The 22,602-nt window shown below is 36.7% G+C and overlaps 1 protein-coding gene and 1 long non-coding RNA gene across 25 annotated transcripts in view, besides 1 other annotated feature; both read right to left on the bottom strand.

The window, feature by feature from the left end:
- Positions 1–22,602, bottom strand: part of DNM3 (dynamin 3) — a 576,969-nt gene that overhangs the window by 538,259 nt on the left and 16,108 nt on the right. The window lies entirely within an intron of this gene.
- Positions 7,894–8,414: an enhancer, noted in NCBI's record as "OCT4-NANOG hESC enhancer chr1:171840934-171841454 (GRCh37/hg19 assembly coordinates)". NCBI's record gives its function as "activates a minimal SCP1, AML or CMV promoter by ChIP-STARR-seq in primed H9 embryonic stem cells {active_cell/tissue: H9 hESC(primed)}" and the evidence as "EXISTENCE:reporter gene assay evidence [ECO:0000049][PMID:30033119]".
- On the bottom strand, positions 15,521–16,016 carry DNM3-IT1 (DNM3 intronic transcript 1). Its single transcript, NR_046845.1, has 2 exons — positions 15,915–16,016; positions 15,521–15,809 (listed from the first exon to the last, which is right to left on the bottom strand). It is a non-coding gene; the product is annotated as a DNM3 intronic transcript 1 (long non-coding RNA).

The raw sequence follows: 22,602 nt of genomic DNA, 5'->3' as shown, positions 1-22,602 counted from the left end.
CTTACTCAATCAGCCAGATTCTAAGTTTGTTTTCTAGCCATCACAGGAAATAACACAAAAGCATCTGTGGCTGATACAGCACATTGGCCAGCTCAACTTCTGTTCCAATCTCCATATTTGCCTTCTTACACTGCAGATGCCAGAAAACTAAAAACCTCATTTCCCAGACTCCCTTGTAACTAGCATTCTCAACACAATTTAGGTTTCACCATTAAGATGCACTTCCATAAGACTTGAATTCCAATTTGGGTTTCACCATGAGCGCCACTTCCATAAAACTTGAATTCAGAGTTAAGCGGAAGAGAAGAAGCACCCAAGGTTTTGTCTTGCTTGTGCAAATCTAACAGGCAGCAGACAGCTCTGAAGCTAACAATGCTGGTAGCAGTCTGATCCCTGAATCACAGCTAAAGTAGAATATCCCAGAAGACAACAGTTGCTTCGTGACTCCTGGTTGTGGCTAGGGTGCTGTGATTTGAAACCAGCAGTTGACATGCAGGCTTTTTTAGTTCCTAGCTTCCTAGGAGTAATAATGGAAGCAATGCCCCTGGCACGCAGTCCACTGTGCCTTTCTGGAAGCCATTCTTAGAGGCCCAGTCTAGAGTCCAATGATTAGATTAGTAAGCACCTAATTCCTTATGGTAAATGCTTTTGTTTTTATTATTCTATTTTTTTCTTAAATAGTTAGAATTATTTCCATTATCTGTAACTGACTTCTAAGTGATAAAATATTAAGACAACTACTTGGAAACATTCAACTGTGAACACTTTCATGCTTTCAAACATTCAAAATAATGTAAAGTGGTGTGGATTTTCAGTAGACAGCACTAATCAAAGTACATCATATAATCTTTAATTCTTCTCTCTGAGCAACAACAAAAAGAACCCTAGACTTTTAAAACATAGCTACTCAATACATTAAATTATTTTTCACTCAAACTTGTGATGATTTGATATTTGAAAGCAATAGCAAAGGAAGAACAGTCTAACTTCTTCCAGCCCTTGCTTCTTTGAACAACTAAAACAGCACCTTTCATATGGCAGACCCTGAAGATATGTTAGTTTTACTGAGTGTGAGCAGAATAATATAAATGATTCAAACTAGTACATAAGCCAAAAGCATATTAGTTTTGATTTGGGAGCAGCAGATTGAATCATGAGGATGTTCCATAAAATTAAGTGCACTTGCATAACTACATACACTCTGACAGAAAACATAGGGGACTCCATGTGGGGATTTTAGGAAATTTCTACAGGTTGGAATAATGTAATAATTTCCCACAATGACAAAGGATCTAATCAGATGGATCATTCATTCCCACTGGTTATTTCCATTTGTTCATATACTTTTGTTTCATATATTAAAAAAAAAAGAAAGCTTGAGCCTGAAAAGTCAGAAATACATTCATTGAAGTAGTTGGAATCTGCTTGATGAAGGTCCCAACAGTACCCAAGTACCACTAGGGATTAAAACGATATGATTATTCCTTAAGGGTACTAATGGTATGTCTTTTCACATAAAAATATGATATAAAAGAAAATAAAGTTATGGCCACCTGGCTCTCCACTGGGTAGCAAATCAAACAATCTGAGTTCACGCCCATGCAGAAAAAGAAGGGAATAGATTAGGGCTTGCTTTCTCTCTGTCACTTAACACAAATCTCTCCAATTCATGAGGGAAACAGAGGTAGTCCAGCAGATCCTTCTACAGAAACATGCTTGGTATCTGAGAGAGGTAAGTTTCAGCTACAATAATTTTTTATGAATAAATTTCCAAAAATCCAATTTCTCAACAGATTTGAGGTTTTCCAAATTTCTAAAAAAAAAAAAAGAAAGGAATTTTAATATTTTCTGTCTCTTCAATTTGTACAAAGTACCTTATTAACTGCCATGGAGAGATACAACAGAATAGGAAACAAGGTCCCTATCCCCAAGGAATTATGATCTATAGAGAAAAATGATCTCACATGGTTTTTTTCAATCTGTGTTAAAAATAATTTCATTAAAGCTTCTGCAAGCTGTTAGTAATTTTACTTTTGGGGAGTTGGAAGTCTTATCTTTAATACCTACTCTTTCATTTTTCTTAAATTATTTCATGTGTTATATTTTTAAATAAAAATTTTACTTTACTTTTAAATTATCTCAGAATCACTTTTGTCAGCCAAAGATAGCATGATAGGCCACAATGACTGTGCTGAGAATCATTGTCCTAAGTACTATAGAAACTCTAAATGAGTCAACGAAGCAATACAGCTGAGCAAGTACAGATCTTCACAAAGGAACACCCACTCTCACTTACAGCCTGTTCATAATCAGACACCCGGTCTAAGTCTTAACCACGATTCAAACCTTGTAGATATGAATGAGGCAATTCACATCTTGTGAATTTGAATTCTTCAGTGTAATAGCCAAAGGTCAAGGAATTGGGTTAATGAGAACATGCCACTGGGGTGGTAACAGAGCAGCAAGTGGAGAAAAATCAAAAGCAGAGTTTTTTTTTAACTCTCCATTGCAAGTGAGAAAGTCATGGCAATAATGCCTTCAGGCAATATAACCCCATTCTTGAATTTGATTATTTAGTTTATAGATTACCTATGTTCTTTGGCACTTTTTGCTCTTAGTATCAGTTTTAAACTATTTCACTTATAATTAGCACCTCCATTGAGGATGGAAATAGAAAGGAGGCCGAAGTGAAACTCAAGGTAGCCCAATTTCACTACTTGACTTCCATCGAAGTTCAACAAAAATGATTTGTTGTGGAGAAGAGACTAAAATGAATGAAGTATTCACCTTAGATAAGTTCAACTGATAAACAAGCAAACTTGCAAAACATTTAAATGAGAGGTTAAGGAGAATTCTTTGCTCTAAAATAGTCTTTGCTTTATAAAATCATTTCATTTAAGAATATGTTTAATAGATATAAAATCCTTGGGTTTAAAATATTCTTTAACTTACCAACAGGTGTTTTACATATGGTGTTTTAAGAACATGCCTAAAGAAAAGCTTATCTATGTTATGAGGGAGGGGAGGATGGCTAAAATTATAATTTATTCCCATGGTTTCAGGACGTATCCTAAAGCAAAACAAAGTTCTGTGATTTAGGTTTTCATTGTTAACTTTTTCCAGTTTCATACTAGACTCTTCTCTGCATCATTTAAGTCAGTAAATAGAAAAAATAATGTGGGCCCACAGATGAAAAAAATCTTACTTTCCATAACCATAAAATAGAACACAAGTATTTCACATGTTCAGATTCTCAACATGCCAGAATTAGAAGGACATATTTGTAACTTTGCTAATCGCCTGGAACAACATTAACTTCCTAAATGAAGTCTTTGAAAAGAATAAAAAGAAATGCCCCCAAATAGCAAAAACATTTTAATATAAAGCCACAGGTATTCCTATTTCAAACTACCACTAAAAAATTCGAATAACAACCTTTCATCCCCAAACACAGTACTTTAGTAGTAATTGTGACACACAAAATAATTGCTTTTGCTCTTTCTAGATTATAGTCAATAAATGTCATTTTTTCAACAAAGGTTTGATGGGCACCTACTGTGAGAAAGGTATCTGCCCTGGAAGTCACTAACATGATCCTAATCCACTTGGAGGTTAGCCTGGAAGAAGGAAAAGACACTCAGGAATAAATACAAAGCCACAACATGTATAGGTGCTCAAGAAGAGTCCAGGGGGCTGCATGAGTCAGAAGAGAAGAGATGAGATGTGGCTGGGGTTATCAAGGAGGCTTCACAACAGGTAGCATTTGAACTATACCCCAAAAGACAGGAATGATATGCCAGATTTAGGGGAGAAAAAGAAAAGAAAAAAAAGGAAAGAACATTGGAAGAAGTGAACTGTCCTTTTTTTGTTTTGACTTTTTATTTGGAAAATTTCAAGCTTACATAAAGTAGGCCTAGTAGTATAATAAATCCTATATTCCACTTCAATGGTTATCAGCCCATGAGCCATCTTGATCCACCTACTGTCTCACCACTTCATGTCCCACTCTCTGACCAGATTACTTTCAAACAAATCTAAGACATCCCATCATTTCATCAATAAAGATGTAAGTACGTATCTTTAAAAGATAACTCTTTTTGGCCAGGCGCAGTGGCTCACGCCTGTAATCCCAGGACTTTGCGAGGCCGAGGGGGGCGGATCACAAGGTCAAGAGATCGAGACCATCCTGGACAACATGGTAAAACTCCGTCTCTACTAAAAATACAAAAATTAGCTGGGCATGGTGGCACGCGCCTGTAGTCCCAGTTACTTGGGAGGCTGAGGCACAAGAATCACTTGAACCCAGGAGGCGGAGGCTGCAGTGAGCCCAGATCGCACCACTGCACTCCAGCCTGGCGACAGAACGATACTCCATCTCAAAAAAAAAAAAAAAAGAGAGACAACTCTTTTTTTAGACTTGCTGGGGTATTTATTTATATCTATTTAATAAACACTGTACTAAGTGCTTTACAAATAGCAACTCACTTAATTCTTAAAACAATGCAGTAAGGTAGGTACTACTATTTTTATAATTTCGCAGATGAGGAAAGTAAAGCCTAGAAGGCTAATTAACTTCCCCAAGGTTGTCCAGGTAGTAAGTGGCAAGGTGAGATTTGAACCCAGGTATTCAGGCTCATTCCAATGCTCTCAAATGCTATGGCACACTCTATTGCCAGTAAATATTTGGTTTACTCCTTCAGATGCCAAATCTAACTTATGTGTCATTTTTACATACTATATTCCAACTCATCTTAAAAAGACAAAGAAAAAAAGGTACAACAGCACAATGAGTTCAATGAAATAATACTGGCTTTTTAAGTAACTTTGGTACAAACAATTCAGACAAAGTAATAATGAACTCTAGAAGTGGCTGAATAAGATGCTGGCAAGCCTGCAGAGGAAAGGGAAGGCTTATACACTGTTGGTGGGAATGTAAATTAGTTCAGCCACTGTGGAAAGCAGTTTGGATATTTCTCAAAGAACTTAAAACAGAACTACCATTCGGCCCAGCAATCCCATTACTGGGCATATACCCAAAGGAAAATAAATTGCTCTACCAAAAAGACACATGCACTCATATGTTCATCGCAGCACTGTTCACAGTAACAAAGACATGGAATCAACCTGGGTGCCCATCAACAGTAAATTGGATAAAGAAAACATGATAGCTACACACCATGGAATACTATGCAGCCATAAAAAGAACAAAATCGTGTCCTTTGCAGCAACATGGACAGAGCTGGAGGCCATTATCCTAAGTGAATTAACACAGGAACAGCAAACCAAATACTGCACGTTCCCACTTATAAGTGGGAGCTAAACATTGGGTACTCATGAACATAAAGATGACAATAGCCACTGGGGGCTACTAGATGGGGAAGTAAAGGAAGGGAGAAGGGCTGAAAAACTACCTACTGGATACTATGGGTACTATGTTCACTACCGGGGTGACAGGATAATTCATACTCCAAACCTCAGCATCATGCAATCTACCCATGTAACAAACGTGCATATATGCCCCCTGATCTAAAATAAAAGTTGACATTATGTTTTAAGGTGGCTGAATAAGTACAAGAGTAGCAAGGCTACTAATCCAGGCTCACTAATCATACATGTGCATTTGCCATGTAATGAACTATATGAATATTATATTTTGATGATAAAAGCATAATAGCCTCAAATACGTCTATAAAAATACAATTTCATCAACTCTACCACTGGATACTTTGTCACTGCAATATCTAAGCCTAAGACTATCACAGATACTACCACTACCAAAACACTGAATTATTTTGACTTGTACCAATGCCACAATTAATTTCATTTCAAGGAATATTTAACTATAAAAACTGCTGGTTTCCCCAATTCTTTGAAATAATTAAGAAATTAATTAAGAGATAATTAACCTAATCAACTAAACTATGCATATGTGTATATCTACACATATCCACATATGTATATATAGATGCATATACATATATGCATATTAGTGACATCCCATTTTAATATCTGAGAAATTTATGTGTGTTTGTATATATGTACATGGATGTGATATCCAATTTTAAAATACAGAAAAACTACCATCTCTAATTAGGAATTGAAAAAACTTAGTTCACATTACAATAAATGTTCAAATGAGTTTCAAGGAAAGAACTGTCTACCGTTTACTAAATAATGTACTCTAATATATACTTCAGCTGTGGCAAGAGGTCTTCTCACATTCCTTTCCTGTGTTCAAGCAACACTTAGAAGAAAAATAGAAACCACTCACTGTAATAATGTCATATCAGAAAAGACTCAAAATGTGCTTCTGGTTTGGATTAGAGCTAAATCCATTAGGAAGTAAAGGAAACAGCTTCTAAAAAGGATTTGATAATATCATCAGGGATACTTATTTTATTGTCATTGAGGGGAAAAAGAAAGGGACAGTATTTTCTTACTTCGTGGAGAACGAGAAAAGAAAAAGCGTACAGTTTTTCGTATGGTTTAAGTCTAATAGTTAAGAACATCAGGCATTTTTACAGTCATTTATCTTGCCATTTGAAACATCAACTCTTGACTGAGGAGATGAGACACAATTAATGCTGTCACCTCCCTCAAGTCCTTGCTTAAATCTCACCTCTTCTTCTTGGACATGCCTGATCCCCCTTACCCTGCTTTGCCTTTCCTTTGGTCCATGGCCCTAATAATCTTGTAATCTGCCACATAATTTACTTATTTACTTTGGGTATTGCTTATCCATCTCCCCAGTTAAAACCTGAGTTCCTCAAGCACAGGAATCTTTGTTTGCTTTATGGCTTTTTTCTAGCTCTTAAAACAGTGCCTGACACACAGTAGGTGTTCAATAAATGTCTGCTGAATTCAGGGTTTTAAATAACCTTTTAAATAATAGTAATATTTTATAGCTAACATTTATGGACCACCTACTACAGGTCAGGCACCATGCTGTACCCTTCAAACCCACTAAAGGAACTCTTCAACACCCTGGGAAATACAGATCATTTTTCTGATGAGAAATGTGTCACTTATAGAGATTGGACAACTTCACAGCTAGTGAAGCTCCCTTCAAGATCTCTTTATCTTATATGATTCAACTTGACTTCTTAAAGAATAGACACCTTTATATCTTACAAATATCCAAATCCATCTGATAACTACAATAACAAAATGTGAGTTAAAGCTAATCAAACACAAGACTCAGACCCCCAGGAGTAATTATGGGATGATTCTGCTCCTCCTTCAATCTTAATAACAACAAAAGAATAACAATTTCTGTAATACTTTACAGTTCATGTTTTTACAAATATTATCAAGTTTGATCTAAACTCTTGAAATACTTTTCACCTGTTATCTTGCTCTTCAACTGACTCGAAAAAGCAAGAGTATCTTGTCCAAATTGGACCTGAATTAAAAAAAAACAAACATTTCTTCAGAAAGAAGGACCTTCTGAGTGGAAATTTCTATAACTTCCAGAGCAAACATCGACTTTCCACATTTTCTCTTACCTACAGATAGGGACTAGGAGAAAAGCAATGTGATTCTGTGGACTCAGACAGAGCACAACCAGGGTCTGGCCAGCATGCCGAGAGACTAGCGGGGACATCCTCTTGGTGTCCTCATTACTAACATCCTGACTTCACTTTCCTAGGAAATGCTAATACAAAAAGAATAAACAAACAATTTGCGCCTAAGAATAGCTTATTCATTCCTACGTACATTATTTTGAAAATATCTAAGGTCCAATATGCCTAGCACTACAGGAGATCCAGTAAAGTATATGGCACAGTTTCTATCCTCATAAACTCTTTAGGAAGACCAGATCTAAATATGAAAAAACAAATGATGGAGAACTGCAAAAAGGAAAAAAAAAGGAAAAACTATTTTGGGGTGGGAGATAACAAAGAAGCTTTTTCATCTCAAAATATACCATTTGGTAATTCACTGCAAAGCCTATATAATGAATAGGATTTGAGAGTCATTTCAAATTCAACTTTCTGTTATAAAGAAGTACACTCTTAAATCCTGTTAAAATTATTCTTTAAGCACTAACTCAAATGTGATGATCTCTGTCATTTTCCCTGATCTTCCCTCAACCCTCTACAATGCTTTGTCATCTCTCAAATTCTCCCTACACACCTTATCACATTCCTTTCCTGATGGGTTATCAGCTAGCTCTGTGAGCTCAATGGCCATAGCTCGTCTGCATGGAGGCTGGCAGTCGGTAGAGGCTTAGCAATTGTTGGCTAAATTGAAAAAAAAAAAAATTACTACCTCTTAACCCACTGAATCTATCTTTCTAGAGAAAATACACTTTGAATATTCTATTTAGCAAAAAAAAAAAAACAAGACAACAACTAAAATTTTAACAGAAAAAGAGAAATTAGGATATGTAACTTATATAGTAACCAATAAAGAAATAATTTACTACCTCTTAAACCCACAGAATCTAACATTCCAGAGAAAATACATTTTAAATATTCTATTTAGCAAGTAAAAACAAATAAAGCAACAATTAAAATTTTAACCAAAAAAGGCAAATTAGGGTATGTAACTTATATGGTCACTAATATAGAAATAAAGCAATAGTTACTAGGGGGAAGGTGACCAATTAAAAAATTTGTGAGGATGTTTCACGGTGTTCATAGGACCAGCAATGTTAAACATCCTACAGTTCTTGCGAGAATCCTATGCACTGAACAATGATCCCACATCCTACATGATTTTTCAGTCTTTTGCTGCACATTCAGGTAGGTGAAATTATCTGGGCTGGATCCTAATCCTGTTTTATCCAGAAACACCAAAGATTTAGGCAATGCATTGAATTTTCCGGAAATGCAACTATCATGTAAATTGAGAGAAGACTATACTTTGTTTTGTTGGGAACTTTATAAAGAATTGTTTAGTGTTTTGAAAAATCAGGTCCCTGACAGCAATGCTTCCTGTCAATTTGAGTTGCCAAAATAACACCCTCTGTATCCTGGGGCTCTGGGCGTTGAGTATAGAGTGGTGAGCACATACATAATTGCACATCATGTCACTTATTTCTCGACAACATGTACTGATCCCTTCCTGATCTCCCTCTCCAGCCCAATATTTCTGACGATGTCCATTGCAAACTTTTGATTTTTACCATTTGAGATCTTTTGGAATCTTGCCTCTTTAGCACATCTTGCCTCTTTAGCCTCTTTAGTCAACCCTCTGCCCAAGCTATTCCCTGAAAATTTCAGAATCTCTCATGTCTTCAAGTGTTTATTCATGCCATTCTTTCTCCAGACACATCTTCCACCTTTTTCTCTGTCTTCTCAAATTCTGTCGTACTCTGGGGCCCATCTCAAATGATACTTCTTTCATAAACTCTTCCTGGGTACTACCTTTCAACACAGATTATTCCCCTTTGGACTTCACATTACAAATACAGGCAGTTTGGGTACCTGATTGTGTTCAGTTTCGCATTTTATTTTATTTTTCTAGCCTTATGCTGTTTTTTTATTGTTTTGTGTCATATCTTTCCTCAGAAGAATATAATTTTGAGCTCAAGAACTACTCTAAACCTCCTTTTGATACATAATCTAATTTGCAAAGTGATAGGCACATAATAAGCATTCAAAAGACTCTTACTGAAGATCAATTCCTCACTTTTTATTTCAGGGAATTAGGGCCAACGTTTTGCAGAACACAGAATAGTGCATGAGAGACTTCAGAGGGTTTTTTTTTGTTTGTTTGTTTGTTTTTGTTTTGTTTTGTTTTGTTTGTTTTTTTGTTTTTGAGATGGAGGGAGTCTTACTCTGTCGCCCAGGCTGCAGAGGTTTTTAACTGATTAAAAGACTCCTGGTCTTCAGCTAGATCACAATGACTATATAACTGCATTAGTCTGTAATTGGTCCCACCTAAAATTTATCTTCAGTAATGCCTTCTTAATGAGAACAGAGTGAGAGTCTATAAAAATCATATGTTACCCCAATTTTACTTTAAATCAGTAAGGAATATAAAAGGCAATTCATGTCAAACGGATATTGTTATTTAATAATTTTTTCAGAATAATGGAAAATGTAATAGCAAACGTGCTAGTATTTAAATAGGTCCTGAAGCAAGCCACCAGACCTAGTTAAGGCTAGTTCTTCCCTGAGCAAGGATAGTTCTTCCATGGCTAGTTCTTCAATGGACATTTATATCTTCCTAGACACTATATCTGCACTTCTGCACTCTGTCTAATGAGCCTAACTATAGCTTTACAACCCAAATGATTAGTGAAGAAAACTGAGGGTCAGATATGAGCTACTGTAATTAAAATTACAGGAATCATCAGAACTTCCCTAATCTAAAAATTATCTTGAGTTCATGTAAAAGTTTTCAGTCTCCACTTTTAACTAGATGAAGGTTAAATTAAACTGAAAGTCATTGGTCAGGATTCAATTTCTGTCCTGAGGTAGCATGAGATATTGATTGCCTATAAGCATTACTTTACATTTTCAAACAATAACAATAAGGCAGGGCAGTGAAATATTTTACCAGCAATAACTCAGCATCATATGTCAGTGAGAACTAATGATTACCCTTCATGACACGAATCCATTTGTAATTAAGTAAGTGGAAAAAGGAGAAATGAACAGCCAGAAAAATTCAGGTCAAGAGCTTAAGTTTCTATATGGATATTAGTACAGGAAAAACTTGGTTAGTATAACTGGAGAAGAGGATTTCTCGGGTAAAACAGCACAATTCTACAGCTAATTGTAACTGACAGATATAACTACCTTCTTTCCTTATGAGGAAATGCTGCTGGAGAGACACACTTAGCAAGAGTGAAAATCACACACTGGAGATCTTGGAGAAATTTGAACTCTTCCAAGATCCTATGTGGCTGAGCTGTAAGCAAGCAGCCCACAGCTCCTCAGGCATGGGGAGGGCAGCACCAGATGGGGAGGGCAAAGGAAACAGTGCCTGGGCTCTGTGCCAGGTGTTTTCACATACCTTAATTCAGAGTGGAAAGCAATTATTTGTATCCAAAAGCATTCACAAAATGGTTTTCTCCAAAAAAAAACCAACCACATGATGTTTAGGTACACAGCCTTAAAAAAGCACATGCAAGAATAATTAGCTCTGCAATTGTAGTTTAAGAAATTGTACAAGCCAGGCACAGTGGCTAACGCCTGTAATCCCAGCACTTTGGGAGGCTGAGGCAGGCGGATCACCTGAGGTCAGGAGGTCGAGACCAGCCTGACCAACATGGAGAAACCCTGTCTCTACTAAAAGTACAAAATTAGCCGGGTGTGGTGGCGCATGCCTGTAATCCCAGCTACTTGGGAGGCTGAGGCAGGAGAATCGCTTGAACCCGGGAGGCAGATGTTGCAGTGAGCCAAGATTGCGCCACTGCACTCCAGCCTGGGTGACAAAGCGAGACTCCGTCTCAAAAAAAAAAAAGAAATTGTACAAAGGACACCAGAAGCATCTTTGTTCCTTCTCACACCACAACTGCTCAATCAATGTAAGAGGGTACACAAAAATTAAGTTTTTAAATAGAGAGAGGCTCATCCTTGCTTGATAAAACAAGCCAGAGTTGCCAGAAGGTACTAACTTAGAAGAGAGCCAATTCTTTCTTCCTGCCTGAAAAATTGTCTAAGTTGTGACATCTCTAACTCAATTATGCATGGCTGTGAAGATGCCATTAAATAGGTGGTTTGAACATTTCAAATAGAACTGGCATGAAGCTATTTCTTGCTCGAAAATTTCCACTTATTCACGCAATGCGCAGATTGCAGTGTCAAGGTTGAAAACAGGAAAAATCACTTGGCTGGGTACCAAGTATTTGAGGGCAGTTCAGTTTCTGCCTCTTGGCCTGAGCAGACCACAGAGAAGATGAATGCCTGGCATGCCAGGAGCTGTGTGCAGGACACCTCTTGTCACCCTCATCAGGGAGGGTAGGACCCAGGGCTTGACCAAGGAATTCCCAAACTGATTACCCCTAAGAGATCCTGTCTCTTAGAAAATAACACTCACTCAAGCAAGAAGCAGCCTTTTAAGAAATGCTTCACCACCAATACTCTTAGTAGCATGGGGGATGACACTGGGTAGAAAAACACAGATAACAATTTTGAGCTGAAGGAAGATCCATAAAGAGTTGGACTCAATGTGAAGAAATTTTTAGAGTAATTTACCAATGTATTTCATTTATATCTTATAGTTTATATACCTATAAGAGTGGCATATGATAAAAATCTTTCTACAACCCAAGATATTTTCCATTAACTATAAAACAAAAATGTTAAGTGATAAGAAAGTATCTTAGTTTAATTAACAATGATTTTCTTTTTCTTTCTTAGCTGTATATAAAATAATGCTACATCTTAAGTGTGTGACATCTTTGATGAATAAAATATGGTGGGTTATGGTAAATACAGAACCTATATATGTGATATATGACCAACGGTACCACTGAAGTAAAACCCACAAATACCAAATACTAGGATGATGGGGATGTTCTTTGACACTCAGTCATGTGAGTTTGGAACCCATTAAAAATGTCCAAAGTGGATAATAAATATGATGAAAACATTATTCCACAAAGAGATATTTAAATAAAAGTAGATCCAAAGGAAGTATGGAAAAATTTATGAGTGACAATACCATAAATATACAAAAACCAGTTTGGGTGCCTCTAACCTTAGCATAGAGTTAATATCTGAAAGAAAAACAATGTGTCCTGCATCTCCCCATGGAATGCCACTTGGCTATTAGCAGAAGAATCATGGACTGGATAAACCAGGGATGCAGCCTACTGGAGCCTAGCGCAGATGTGACTTCATATTCCAAATATGTGAGGTTTGAAGCACGAACAGCCATATTAAAATACAAATTTTTAGTGAAATAAAGCAATCACAGAGGCACAGGAAGCACAGTATTCCTCAACTACTTAACCAGTAGCCATTTTCACAATGGATTAGCCAGAATTATATCAAATTTCAAAAGCAATCACCTCTAACATAGACACTAGTTTTCTTCAAATCAGTTCAAAGCCTGACCTTCAGCTCCTTTATCCTTTAGGGAGCCCTGCCCTAAAGGCCACACTCCTACCCCCTTCCTAAGTGTTCCAGGATCTTCTCTACATGCTGTGTGGAGTTCCTGCTGACTTCAAAGGCTGAACTCCATGTGTGGTTACACACGTCACTTAAAAGTTTAAAAACATTTAGCCTTTGTTGGAACCTTAGGTGCACCTAAACTTTTAAAATACGACCTAAAAGCAGCTTTTAAAGCAAGACCCTAAAAGTACAACTGAGTGTGACTGCTTTGACAGTGATACCTACATGATCTATGTCATCTCAGCACATTCACCAGGTACACAACCTTGCAAAAAATTACTGAACACCTACTATGTGAGAATTATAATGTGGCATGCCTAAAGACCTAAGGACCCAGATAACATGATGCCATAGAAGCTTATAATAAAATGGGGCATATGAAATAATTTATATTTAAAACATACACACATTCTATTTGAAAAGTACAAGTCAGTGTTATTTAAAAAAAAGAAAAGCATATGAAAAAAAGAAAAATTAATTTAAACTTGAAAATTAGGAAAGCTTTATAGAGGAAGCAATATGTCAACTTCAATTTACCAATTCTTCTACATAAGTCTGTGAGATCTTTGAGGGAAAGGATAATTATCCTCATCTTTGGAACCAAAGTAGTTGGTACAATCCTTAGGCATGTAGCAAACACTCAGTACAGATTTGCTGGATTCAACTGAAATGGGAGGAATAGAAGGAGCAAAAGCATTCTAGATGGAGGGAATGGTATGAGTGATGACACAAAGGAGAGAAAGTACAAGGACGGTTTCAGAGAATGGCTACCTATGATGTACAAAAGAAATGGAAAATTATGCTGGGAAGTAGTTGGTAGCCAGATCATTAAAAGCTTTTAAAGTTATGCCAAGAAGTTAGGATTCTATTGTGTAGGGAAAGGGAGCGATTAGAGTAGTGCTTTAAGAGAATTCTGTCAAGAGTATTTAGAATGACTAAGGTGGGGGTTGACACTGGAAGAACTGATGCTATTAAATAAGTTATTAGGATAAATCAGGCAAGAGGAAAGTAAGCTCTGAGCTGGGACAACAGCAACAGAAATGAAAGGGCACCAACGAGAACAAAGGCACTACTCAAGTAGAATGTACAAAATTTAGTATATGTGGGGAAAGGAAAGATGAAGGCAATATGAAAGCTTCAAGGTTTGTTGATTAAGAGAATACACAGAGGACATGACCTCTCTGGGGAAGATGCTGAATCTATTAGTAAAAGTATGAGTATTTACATTGAAATCTCAACATGGATCTGAAAATGTAGGAAAGGGATACAGACTCAAGATCCAAAGTTGCCCACCCAGCTAAACCCTGATGAGAAGTGAGATCACAGAGAAAGGAAGCTACTGTATTTGCTGTTATAAAATATGAGAAATTGTTTTTTACTCACCTCTAGAGGAATATGTATGAATAAAAATGTTTCTTAATCCTCGAAGATAACAAAACTGTCTAAGTGATCATATTTCACTTTTTCCCCTAATGGGGTGTTTACATGTGTTTAATCCCATTATTAGGTCAATATTTAGGTTTGGGAATTTTTCATTCTCCATTTCTTGGTTTTATCTTACCTTGGTCCTGCCTCTTCAGTTCTTTTTTCATTCTTTTTTTTTTTTTTTTTTTTTTTTTGAGACAGGATCTTGCTCTGTCACCCAGGCTGGAGTGCAGTGGCAGGATCATGGCTCACCGCAGCCTCGACCTCCCAGTCTCAAGAGATCCTCCAGTCTCAGCCTCTCAAGCACTGGGACTACAGGCATGCACCACTATACCTGGCTAATTCTTGTATTTTTTTGTAGAGATGAGGTTTCACCACGTTGCCCAGGCTTGTCTAGAACTCCCGGGCTCAAGCGATTTGCCTGCCTCAGCCTCCCAGAGTGCTGGGGTTACAGGCATAAGCTACCACGCCCAGCCCTGCCTCTTCACTTCTATTTGACTTTAATGTTTTATTTTAAATGTCTAATAATTCCATAAATAGTTATAGAAAAGAATGAATAAATAAATGAATATAGTTTGTAGGAAGCCACCTCAATTCCTTTGCAGAAAAGCAAGACATAAATAAATTTAAATTTTAAAATAATTTCATTTGGAGAGAAGATAAATAACTTCTTATGAATTACAAGAATGTCTCTCCGTCCAATTAAGAAAACCCACTAGATTTTAAATAAGTCTGTATTTTAAGAGGCAAATTAATGAGTGATTAATTTCATTACAAAACAATTTAGCCTCACAAAAAGATTCTCATTCTAAATTTGGAACTCCAAGCTATACAATTAGTTTTTTTTTTTATTTAAGCAAGAATTAGAAAATTTTTGGCAAGCAAAACTGAAAATTAAAGCATTACTAACATAATAATGTAAATCAATAATAAAACACTATTTACAAATATTCAATCTATATAAAAATTTTTAAGGAGGGAATTTATTGAAAAAAGCAAGCCACACAATGACAATCCCACAATAAGTGTTGTGCCTCCTTCCAAACAGAGGTGTCTGTTGCATATTTATAAACTATGATCTCTTTGTGCTTCTCTTGGTTCCTGCCTAATAGGAAAGCCCCTTTTTCTAAGCTCAGGGGCCTCCACTTAACACACTATGCTCCCACAAGTCCTGTCTGTTCTATAGACAACTGGCAGTTTGTCCTCTAGGCTGGCAAGCCTTATCATGAGCTCTGTTAGCTTCTTTTAACCAGTTACCAGGTCTTGTCCTCCTTACTGGCACAGCTCCTTAATGTTCAGGCAGCTGGAGACCTTAATGGAAAATATGCAGGGTAGATCAGAATATATACATATTTTCCTTCTACACCAAATGTGTTCTTCCACTCACTACCCACAGGTCCAAACCAGGAAACGTACCTTTTGGAAAAACAGGCTTCAGTTATAGGTTTTTGTAATTTGTCTTAAATGGTATGCCAAGAAAATGCAGCATTTTAAATACAGCAGGTGTCCTTGCAATCCCTGCAATGAAAGCAATCTCTCAGTCACGTTTTGCTACATGCAAATCTTTGCTTAAGTACTATTTTTTAAACTATCATTTATTGACGAGTATATTAGACATTTAAAACCCACTTTTTAGACTCTGCAAAGGGAATTGAGATAATGTTTATTATCTCCATTCTGCAGATGAGTAAATAAACCAAGAAAGCCACATAAGTTTTAAAGTCCTTGGCGTTTTGCACATACAGCCCAGACTCTGGATAATTCTTCTGTGTTCAAAGAGCTCATTCATTCAATAAGGCTCATACTAAGTATCTCCAGTCTTTCAACACACACTTAGTAAATACCTTCTACCTGTGGGCTTAGTGAAGGCTTTCAAGAAGAGGTGATAACTAGTTCTTGTAAGTAGAGTTATCCTGGCAATATGGAAACCGAAGAGCCTTCCAGGTAGAGGGGAACATGTGTAACGCTATGGAGACATGAAAGGGCTTGCTGCATTCTAGGAACCTTAGTCGTTCAGCAGGACTGCACACCCCAGTGCATAGAAGGAGAAGGAGAGAACGGACATAAAGACAGATGGCAGACCATGAAGGAAACTCTACAGCATGCTTAGAAGCTGGGTAACAGGGATTTTAGCAGTAGAGTGGTTTGATAAAACATGCATTTTAGAAAATTCATGTAACTGTTATTGGCTTATGAAAAGGGAAATTTCATAAATATTTTGAATATATTTCTCTACTAAGCTCACATTCCCATTTCCTCAAATAGTCTTTGTATACTTTTTTCCTGTCTTTCTGCCCCTCCCTCTGCTTCCTACCCTACCATCAGCTGATGCTATCACTTCATTAAACTGGAGCTTCCCTACATTCCCCACCAAATCTATACACCCTTCTTGTCTGCACCAGCTTCTTTACCTTTCAGTTACAGTGGATAAGATATCCCTACTCCTCTGTGGGATGCCCATCTCACCATACTTTCTCAAGCATGTCCTGCCTCTCTCTTCTGCTTTTCTGTACTTTGTCATCTATATCTTCTTCTGGGTCTTACCTTACTTCTTGGATCTTACTTCTGGGTCATTCCTACTAGCAAACAAAAATGCTCTAATATCTCCCATCAAAAAAAGCATCCCCTTTGAATGTTATGTATTGTCTTTAAAAAAAAAAAAAAGCACACCCTCCTTTGCCCTAGACTCTCTTCCAACTTCTCAGAAGAGTTATCTACACACTGTGTCCCCATTTATTCACCTCTCATTTTCTCAACCACTCCAGTAAGGCTTCCCAACTCCTACCACTCCAACAAAACTACTCTTTTCTCTCAGTTCTAAAGAGTCTCTAGATTTTCTTTCTAGTTCTTTGGCCTCTCCTTCTTGGGCTTCCTTGCAGGGCCCTTCTGTTGCTGCTTCTCTTTTCCTTCTTTCATATACTCTCCCTCAAAGTGATTTATCTCTGTCCTAAGGTTTTCTTTTAATTGAGATATAATTTAAAGATCATAAAAGTCACCCTTTGGAAGTATAATTTGGTGATTTTTTAGTATATTCATGATATTATAAAACACCATCTCTATTTAATTCCAGAATATTTTTATCACCCAAGAAAAACTCCATACCCATTAGTAGTCATTCTCCATTCCTTCCTCTCCCTAGGCCCTGGCAAACACCAATCTGCTTTCTGTCTCTACTCTATACATTTCATATAAATGGAATCATATACTATTGGCCTTTTGCGTTGACTTCTTTCACTTAGTGTAATGTTTTTAAGATTTATCCATGTTGTAGCATGCCTGTATCAGTACTTAATTCCTTTTTATGGCTCAATAATACTCCATTGTATTCAATGTATGTCACATTTTGTTTATTCATTGATCAATTGGTGGGCATTTGGGTGTTTCCACCTTTTGGCTATTATGAACAATGCTACTATAAACATTTATGCACAAGTTTTTGCATGTACATATTTGTGTTTTAATTTGTCTTCAGCATGAATCTAGGAGTTGAATTGTTTCGTATAACATTATGATAACTATGTTTAACTTTTGAGGAATTTGCCAAACTGTTTTCCAAAGTGTCTGTACAATCTGACACTCCCACCAGTAATGGATGAGTGTTCCAATTTCTCCACATCCTCACCAGCAGTTGTTAGTATCCCTCCTTTTTATCATAGCTGTCCTAGTGAGATACCTGGTGGCATATCATTGTATTTTAATTTGCTTCTCTACTGACTACTGATGTTGAGCATCTTTCTATGTGCATATTAGCTATTTATACATTCTTTAGAAAATCAAGTCTTCTGCCTAATTTTTAATTGGGTTATTTGTCTTTTTATTGTTGTGTTATAAGAGTTCCTTTTGTATTCAGGATGCTAGTTCCCTATCACATATATAATTTGCAAAAATTTCCCCCCATTCTCTGGGTTATCTTTTCATACCCTTAATAGTGTCCCTTGAAGCACAAAAGTTTTTAATTTTGATGTTGTTCACTTTAACTATTTTTTATTTTGTCACTTATGCTTTGGGTATCGTAGCTAAGAAACTACTGTCTAATCTAAAATCACCAAGATTTATACTTGTGTTTTCTTCTAAAAATTTTGTAGCTTTAGCTCTTACATTTAGGTCTTTGATCCATTTTGAGTTAATCTGTATATATGATGTGAGGTAGGGGCCCCAATGTATTCTTTTGCACATGGATATACTGCTGTCCCAGTACCATTTGTTGAAAAGGCTACTCTTTCCTCCATTGAATTATCTTGGTACTTTTGTTAAAAATCAATTGACCACGAATGTAACAGTTTATTTCTGGACTCTCAAGTCTATTCCATTCATTTAGTATGTGTATATTTACACCAGTATTACACTGATTTGTAGTAAGTTTTAGAACTGGGAAGTGTGAGTCCTTCAACTTGTTTTGTTTTGCTTTCAACATTGTTTTGGCCATTCTGAATCCTATGCAACTCCATAAAAATTTTAAGATCAGTTTGTCAATTTCTGCACAAAAATGGCATCTGGAATTTTGATAGGAATTTCATTAAGTCTGCAGATTGATTTGAGGTGTGTTGCCATTTTAACACTTAAGTCTTCAAGTTCATGAACATAGGATATCTTTCCATTTTAGTTGGTCTTCTTTAATTTCTTTCAATGATGTTGTATAGTTTTTGGTGTGCAGTCTTAAGGTTTTAAATATCAATGATATATTGACAAGTACTGATTAATATCTTCAGTTAAACTCTCCTCTGTGCCCCAGGCTCTTATATCCAACCACCTGCATACCTTACAGGCTCTAACATGCCCAAATCCATACCTTAGATGTTCAACTCCCAACTTTTTTCTCAGTCTTCCCACTACAGGAAATGGCAACACTGCAATCCAGTCACAAGTCAAAAACTTGAGAGTCGTTTTTTCATTCTTCCCTTCCCCATCTAGTCCATCAGCAAGTCATTATGACTCTACTTCCAAAATATTTGTAGACTCTTTATACTTCTTTCCATTTCCACTGCCACTCCCTAATCAAAGATACCATTATCACCCACCTAGACAACTGCAAAAGATTCCTAACCCATCTCTCTGCTGCTACTTTGCCTGCCTCCAATCCATTATCATCACAGCATCTAGTGCAATGCAAGTCTAATGGAAATATAATATGAGCCATGTAAATAACTTTAAATGTTCTAATAGCCACATTACAAAAAGTAAAAAGAAGCAAGTAAAATTAAACAATACATTTTATTTAGCCCAATTTCTCCAACTTATAATCCTTTCAATATGTATTAATAATCAATATAAAATCATTAATAAGGCAGTTTGTATTCTTTTCCATAGCAAATCTTTGAAATTTCATGTGTATTTTACACTTAGAGCACATCTCAACTTGGATGCTAAATTTTTATCAGAAATACCTGATCTATATTTAAAGTTCACAAAATTTATAGTTGAAAAAGTAGCTTCATGTACCAAAACATACTTAACTGAATTCGTTATATTTTTAAAAGTAGATTTAAAGTAACTAAAATTAAACTGGAAATTCAATTTCTCAGTAGCATTAGTTATAATAGCTACATGGGGTAGTGACTATTGTCTTGAAAAGCACTGACCTAGAGTAATCTTTCTCTAATGTAAATCAGATTACATAACTAACCTGATTAAAATCCTTCCTTCAGTCACTTACCATAGCACTCTGGATAAAATCTATTTTTGGCAACAACAGAGCCTACCTGAACTTCCCTCTGCTATCTTTCCTTGCTATATTTCTCCCTCTCGACTGAGCTCTGGAGACACTGACTTACCTTAAGTTCCTCCAACACACAGACTTCTGTGACCCCTCGAAGTCTTAGCACATACTGTTCCTTCTGCAAGGAATGCTTTTTCCTGGCTCTTCTTATGACTGATTCCTTGTCCTTCAGCTGAAATGTCATCTGATCAGACTGGCTTCCCTGACCAACTGATAAATATGTCACTCTCTGTCATGTTCTATCACTATCCTGATCATTCCTGTCATGGCATCCATACTGATTTATAATTATACATTTTTATTTGTTTATTATATGCCTCTTCATTAGACTGCAAGCTCCAAAATGACAAGGAATGTGCTTTTTCACTTATTACTGTCTTTCTGGTGCTTAAGACAGTGCCTGGCACACAGTGGATGTTCAATAAAAGGCATCACATGTTGCAGATAAATCAGGTATGAAAAAGGCTGAAAGCTCTCCATTATATTTGTAGATTAATGCATTGAATAATTATTCAGAAATTACCATATGCTAGAAGTGAAGATAAACAAATAAAAGAGACCCTGCCCTCGAGAGGCTCACAATTTAGTGATAGAAGCAAATAAGATAATTTAACACAATGTGGTAAGTATAACATGAGAGAAATGCTCAGAGAATTATGTATACCCAGAAGAGGGACAAGAAACCTAGGAGACATGAGGAAGTGGGAGGCAGTTGGGGTATCCCAGAGGAAAGGAGACCCAAATTCAAGATAATAATAGTGGGGTGAAGAACAATAACAACGTGAACAAAGGCAATGAAACAGCGTGGTGGGTGTCTAGGGGGTATGCTACACAGCCAGGTAAAAGAATAACAACACATAACCTGGAGAAGCTGGGCTACACAGGGCCTTGTATGACATCCCAAGAAGCTTTGATGATTTTATGCTGTTGGCATTAGGAACTGAAAAATTTTAACTATGACAGTGATGTGATTTAATTTGAATTCCATATCAATTATGCTATGGCTGTGTGAAAGTCAGATTGGAAGGTTACAAATGGGGAAAGTATTATGAGTCTATTGTTATAGTCCAGAAGATGAATGATGACAACTTGTACTCAGTCAGTGGTTGTAGGAATTAAGCACAGATGATCAGTTTCAGACATATTTGGAAAGTAAATTAAGCTGTCTGGAGATCGTTGGTGACCTTGGGAAGGGCGGTTTCAGTGTACTGATGGGGAAGGAAGACACACTGCATTCGTTATCCTCAGCTGCAGAAATAATGGGAATTGTGGAAGTGGTGATTAATAGCTCCCATATCTGGCTGCTTATCAGGAGCATGAGGAGAGCTTCTGAAAAATACCGATTACCATGGCTTACCTCCAGACCCACTGAGTGGGCCTCCATTAGTGGAGCTTAGGAACCTTTATTTCATAAGTTCCTCAGGTAAATCTTACACAGATATCCATATACTTGCTTTGGGAGATGCTGGGATGGACCAATCTTTTCAGTATCATAATCCTTTTTTTCAAATCCATTTGGTTCCTGCATTTAGACAGTGAGAGTTGTGTGATGGTTATCGGGTAGGAAAGCTAAGTCAGCAGCTGAAGAGGGCAAAGGTTGAGATGGGAGACTCACAAGTAGTTTACATCATTAAGAAAATGAAGAGAGAAGTACAGGTGAAAGAATGGATACCTCAAAAACTGAGGCACATGGGCTAAGGACACTAGCTTATCAAGCTAAGAATATTAGTGCATCAGTGAATTTTTTCTCATAAATGTAAAAATAAATCTCTTACTTAAACACATGATCCTCACTCTCAGTACCAACCCATCTAAGTCAGATCAACAATTTAATTAGCAAAAACTCAATACAAGTTAAGTACTTTTATTAGTCTGCTCAGGCTACCATAACAAAATACCACATGCTGGGTCACTTAAATAAAAGAGATTTATTTATTAAAGTTCTGGAAGCTAGAAGCCCAAAATTAAGATTCAGCTGGTTCAGGTTCTGGTGTGGGCTGTCTTCCTGACTTGATGATGGTTGCCTTCTCTCTGTATCCACATGGCCTCTTCTTTTTGTGCAGAGGAAGAGAGAGAGAGAGCTCTCCAGTGCCTCTTTTTATAAGGACACTAATCCTATTTGATCAGGGCCTCACCCTTATGACCTCTTTAATCTTAATTACCTCCTAATTGGCCCTATCTCCAAATATCGTTATATTTGGGGTTTGGGCTTCAACATGAATTTGTGGAGGAGATACAAACGTTCAGTCCATAATGGTACCTAAAACACTATCATTCAAGATACTGTGGGGAATACTAATTAAGGGTTTGCAGTCTGTCCCAGAAGCAAAAGCTAATGTTAATGAAACAGTCAGAAATATTCAAGTTTTAAACAGTTTTGAACCATAA

This window comes from Homo sapiens, chromosome 1 (genome assembly GCF_000001405.40).
Source record: "Homo sapiens chromosome 1, GRCh38.p14 Primary Assembly".
Taxonomy (NCBI): domain Eukaryota; kingdom Metazoa; phylum Chordata; class Mammalia; order Primates; family Hominidae; genus Homo; species Homo sapiens.
This window is presented reverse-complemented; position numbering and strand designations above follow the sequence as displayed.